General features: G+C 52.2%; 1 long non-coding RNA gene across 1 annotated transcript; it reads left to right on the top strand.

Annotated features, from left to right (window-relative positions):
- The first annotated feature begins 214 nt into the window (after positions 1-214).
- LINC02953 (long intergenic non-protein coding RNA 2953) lies at positions 215-4,184 on the top strand. Its single transcript, NR_172877.1, has 2 exons — positions 215-366; positions 1,923-4,184. It is a non-coding gene; the product is annotated as a long intergenic non-protein coding RNA 2953 (long non-coding RNA).
- Positions 4,185-4,661: the final 477 nt, after the last annotated feature.

Genomic DNA, 4,661 nt, shown 5'->3' on the forward strand with positions numbered 1-4,661 from the left:
ATGATGGCATGACAACACCATCTCTGTGCATCTGCTGTCTCTATGCTGACTTCACTTTCAGGCCAACGCGAGGGACTTTTGTGATTCTGATGGGAAGAAAGAGTCTATGTTCAGACCCACTCTGGCCGAAATCCCAGGTAGAACTCTCATTGGTCTAGCTTGGGTCATGTGGCCATCCCTGGGCCAATCAGAGGGAAGAATATTTTTTCCTGTTAGAAAGGGATGAGCTCGCAAGTCATGGGAAGACTCACAGGAAGCTGAAATGCATATTGCTAGATAGAAGAACCAATCCGAAAAGGCTACTTTCTCTATGATTCCAACTACGTGACTTTCTGGAAAAGGCAAAACTATGGAGATGGTAAAAAGGTCAGTGGTTGCCAGGGGTTAGCGGGGAGGGAGGGATGGACAGGAGGAGCACAGGATGCTTAGGGCAGTGAAACTCTTCTGTAGGATACTGGCGCGGTGGGCACATGTCCCCATAACATTTGTCAAATTTCATGGAACGTACTGCACCAAGTGTGAGCCCTCATGTAAACTAGGAGCCTTAGTCTCATAATAAAGTAATCCCAGGCGCTCCTCAGTTGTGACAAAGGAGCCGATCAGCGTGGCCAGAAGGACGCCTGGTGCCTGACACCCGGCACCAAAGTGAGATGTTAGTAATAGGGGGAACTGCGGGTAGGGGGCGGATGTGGAAACTCTCTGCACTTTCTTCTCAATTTTTCTGTAAACCTGAAACTGCCAGAAAAAAATAAAATTAACTTTAAAAACGAGACGAAGAAGTGGGAGAGATATTGGACAGGCAAGGGACAAAGGTTCAACACAAGTGTGCATGGGTGTGTGGGTGCGCGTGGATGCATGTGGGTGCGCGTGGGTGCATGTGGGTGCGCGTGGGAAGGCAGTACTGACCACATGTGCGCTTCATACCCATGAACCTGCTGATACATGTGTGAGTGCCAGCTTTGCCACATCCTCCCCAGAAACCACTTTTCTCTTTTTAAAACCCATTTTGTTAACGTTAAGGTGTATAACAACTCCTTGCCTTCGATGAATTTTTTTTTTTTCTGAGACAGAGTCTCACTCCATCGCCCAGGCTGGATTGCAGTGGTGCCATCTTGGCTCACTGCAACCTCCGCCTCCTGGGTTCAAGCGATTCTCCTGCCTCAGCCTCCCGAGTAGCTGGGACTACAGGCATGCGCTACCATGCCCGACTAATTTTTGCATTTTTAGTAGAGACGGGATTTCGCTAAGTTGGCCAGGCTGGTCTTGAACTCTTGACCTCAGGTGATCCGCCCGCCTCAGCCTCCTGAAGTGCTGGGATTATAGGCGTGAGCCACCGCACCTTGCCACCTTTGCTAATTTTAACTGGAATTTAAAAAAAATTATCTAATAAGAAAGGCAGCTGTCTAACCCTAACACCAAGTTTGCAGGATTGAATTAGTGCGTAACTACACTCGTGTAAATGCACACACAGCCATGCACACGTGTGTCGGAAGAAGAATGGAAGGGTACATGCTAATCCTTGTGAGGGTTATTAGTGGCTGAGAGGTTGCAGGTGATATTTTTCCATCTCTTCTTTCCAAGGTGTGCATACTGAACATGTATTGCTTGTATAACTCAAATAAATAAATAGATAGATAGATAGTAAGCCATATGCGAGGGAAGGGGTGAGGTCGAGTGTTTCCTTTTGTTCTGGACGTCTGGAATCAGCCCGAACCCAGGATTGCCCCTAATGATTGAGGGGAGATTGGGGACGTGTCGAGGTAAAAGACGATGCGTTATTTTTGTAATAAGTGTAAACAAAATGTTTTTAACGTGCCTTTTTTCTTACCCCTGCTAAGGTAAAATGAGTGCCTCAGTTTGGGGTCAGCAGAGGGGAGAAGAAGCCAGAGATGCTGAGAAGGAACTTTCTTTTCCCTTTTCAGAGAAAAGGATTTCTGCTTTCAAATCCGCTGTTTCCTGAGGCTGGGTGCTGAGTTCAGCTGCCCCTGGAGGAGCAGCAGCTCTGGGCCGCTGGCAGGGCCGCATCCTCTTCAGTCTGGACAAATTCCCTGCAGCCAGGGGAAGTGGCCCATGCCTGCTGTCCTGGTATGCAACATCGGACCTGCATGCTGGAATTTGACCCTTTTCCTGCCTGACACCCAGCAAAATAAACCCCAGGGAAGGGATCAATGCCTGCAACCGGAATCCAGAAGAAAGAGGAGTGACAGATAAGCCCTGGGTCAGAGGCCAGTGAGGTCAGGACCTCCCAGGGACGGACACACAGCCCAAGGTTTGGGTGTGAGATTTCAGAGCCCCAGGTAATAAAAATAAAAGAGTTAAGGTGCCTAGCAGCTCAGTCCCTCACAGTGCTACCTGGGGCAAGGATGGAAATTCACCTCAGTTTGCTGTGGTTGCTATTGGCTGAATCATGTCCTCCCAAAATTCATATGTTGGAGTGTACCTCGGGATGTGGTATCTCAGGATACCTCAGTACCTCGGGATGTGGCGTTGTTTGGAGAAAGGGTCGCTAGAGAGGTAATTAAGTTAAAATGAGGCCATGAGGGTGGGCCCAAATCCAATTTAATTGGCATCCTTCTAAAAAGGGGAAATTTGGACACAGAGAGAGACACAAACAGGGAGGGCGCCCTGGGAACAGGAAGGCGGCCACCTCCAAGCCAAGGAGGTCCTGGAGCAGATCCTCGTCTCAGAGCTCCAGCGGGAACCACCCCTGCCCAACCTTCATTTTGAACTTCTGGCCTCCAGAGCTGTGAGACGATACACTTCTGTGGTTTAAGCCGTGTAGCCTGTGGCACTTGGTTATAGCAGCCCCAGGAAGCCCAACACAGTGGCCAAAACAGAGAGGACAGCTGGCTTGCTAACGTCACACAGCACACTGACGAGCAGGGTCTTCAACTCACTACTCAGGAACCCAGTAGTCAGGGGTGAGGGGGAATGCCCTTCCAATATGGCTAGAGCCAGACTGTCTGGGCCCAATCCCCAGCTTTGTATGTATTACCTAACCTCTCTGTGCCTCAGTTTACCAAGCTATAAAATGGGCATAATGACAGCACCTGCCTGGTGATGCTCTTGGAGGGATGAAAGGAGGCAACGGTGTGGGCATCTGGACGGCACCAGGCATTGCCCTGAGAGCTGGCCATGCGGGGAATGCTCCATCCTTACGCCAGCCAGGTGTTGCCACCCCTCTCTTGCTGATGGAGACCAGGAGGGTCGGGACAGAAGGCCTTGCCCAAGGTCTCACAGCCAGGAGCCTGCCTCCACTGGTCCCTGTGTGGCCAGTGCTGCCCTGGGGGCTGCTGCTGTGCACTGGAGGGTCAGCTGCATGGAGGAGCCAGAGGAGATGGTGCCGAGGACAGAGCTTGCGGCCCTGTACCTGGCTCCCAGAGGAATGGGTCTTGGAGCTGCTCTGCACAGACACTGACCTTGAGGAGAGACAGGGGCGCCACTCCCTCCTCCACTCGCTCAGGTGAGCATTCAAAGCGTCATAGGTAACCAGGAGCACTAGTTGGCATGGCGATTTCAGAGGTGAGTCCAATGTGGACCCTGGCCCTGGGAAGGTCACAGTTTGATGGAAGATGCCAGACTCACACATTCACTCACTCACTCATTCCCTCGTGTATTCATTCCGCAAAGCTTCACTCATTACCTACCTGGGGCCAGGACTCAGTCTCAGAGCCAAGGAGAGCGTGGTTGGGAGGAGACTCAGACGCTTTCCAGCATCCCTGCCCCCAGGTGTCTACACACCTGTGTACTCCCCAACTTGGAGTGTGGCAGGGCTGCAAAGAGGGTGGATGTGCTCCCGTGGTGAGGTTACTTTATATCGCAAAGGTGCCGGACTTCTGCAGGTGTAATTAAGGTCCTAACCAGCTGACCTTGAGTTAATCAAAATGGAGATGATCCTGGGTGGGCCCAAGCTAATCAGGTGAGCCCTTTCAAAATGGCCTTGAAGTCAGAGACTCTCCTGCAGGATTTGGAGATCCAGCCCCATGAGGAACAGGGGCAAGGAAATGCAATCTTCCACAACCGAGAGAGCTTGGAAGAGGGTCCCAAACCTCAGAGGAGACCCCAGCTCCGGTTGGCACCTTGACTGCAGCCCCATGAGACAGAAGACCCAGCTATGCCATGTCCTGGCTCCTGACCTGCCCAAACTTTAAGACAATAGATAAATGCCATTTTAAGCTTTTCAATTGGTGACCATTTGTTACGCAGCAATAGAAAACCCACACGAAGGGTACATTTCCTGAGCCAGGCACAGATTCTGTGGTTGAGAAGCTGGGGAGGGGAGGGGGAGAGAGATGCTTCATTTGTTCATTCACACCCATCTCACCGTTCCGCCGGCACATGGGCTGAGCTTCCCCTGTGTGCTGGGCATTGGACCTGCCCTGTGGGAGCTCAGCGTGTGGGTGGCCAGAGTCCTAAGGACCGACACGGGGGCCACTGGAGCTGGCACGCAGTGGCATGGGGAGAGGGGTTTCCAGAAACACCAGGTGTGCCCTGCTTTGGCTGCATACCCTCAGCTAGGGCTGGGACAGTCACTCTGAACTGGCTACCAGGGTGCTGGGCACGGGATAGCTGTGGCCTAGCCAACCGCCTCTGGTCCACTCGAGTGTGTGTGCCGGGCATCCACTCTCCCACCCAGGCTCCTTCCCAGGCTTTCGGCGCAC

Source organism: Homo sapiens, chromosome 11 (assembly GCF_000001405.40).
Source record: "Homo sapiens chromosome 11, GRCh38.p14 Primary Assembly".
NCBI lineage: Eukaryota > Metazoa > Chordata > Mammalia > Primates > Hominidae > Homo > Homo sapiens.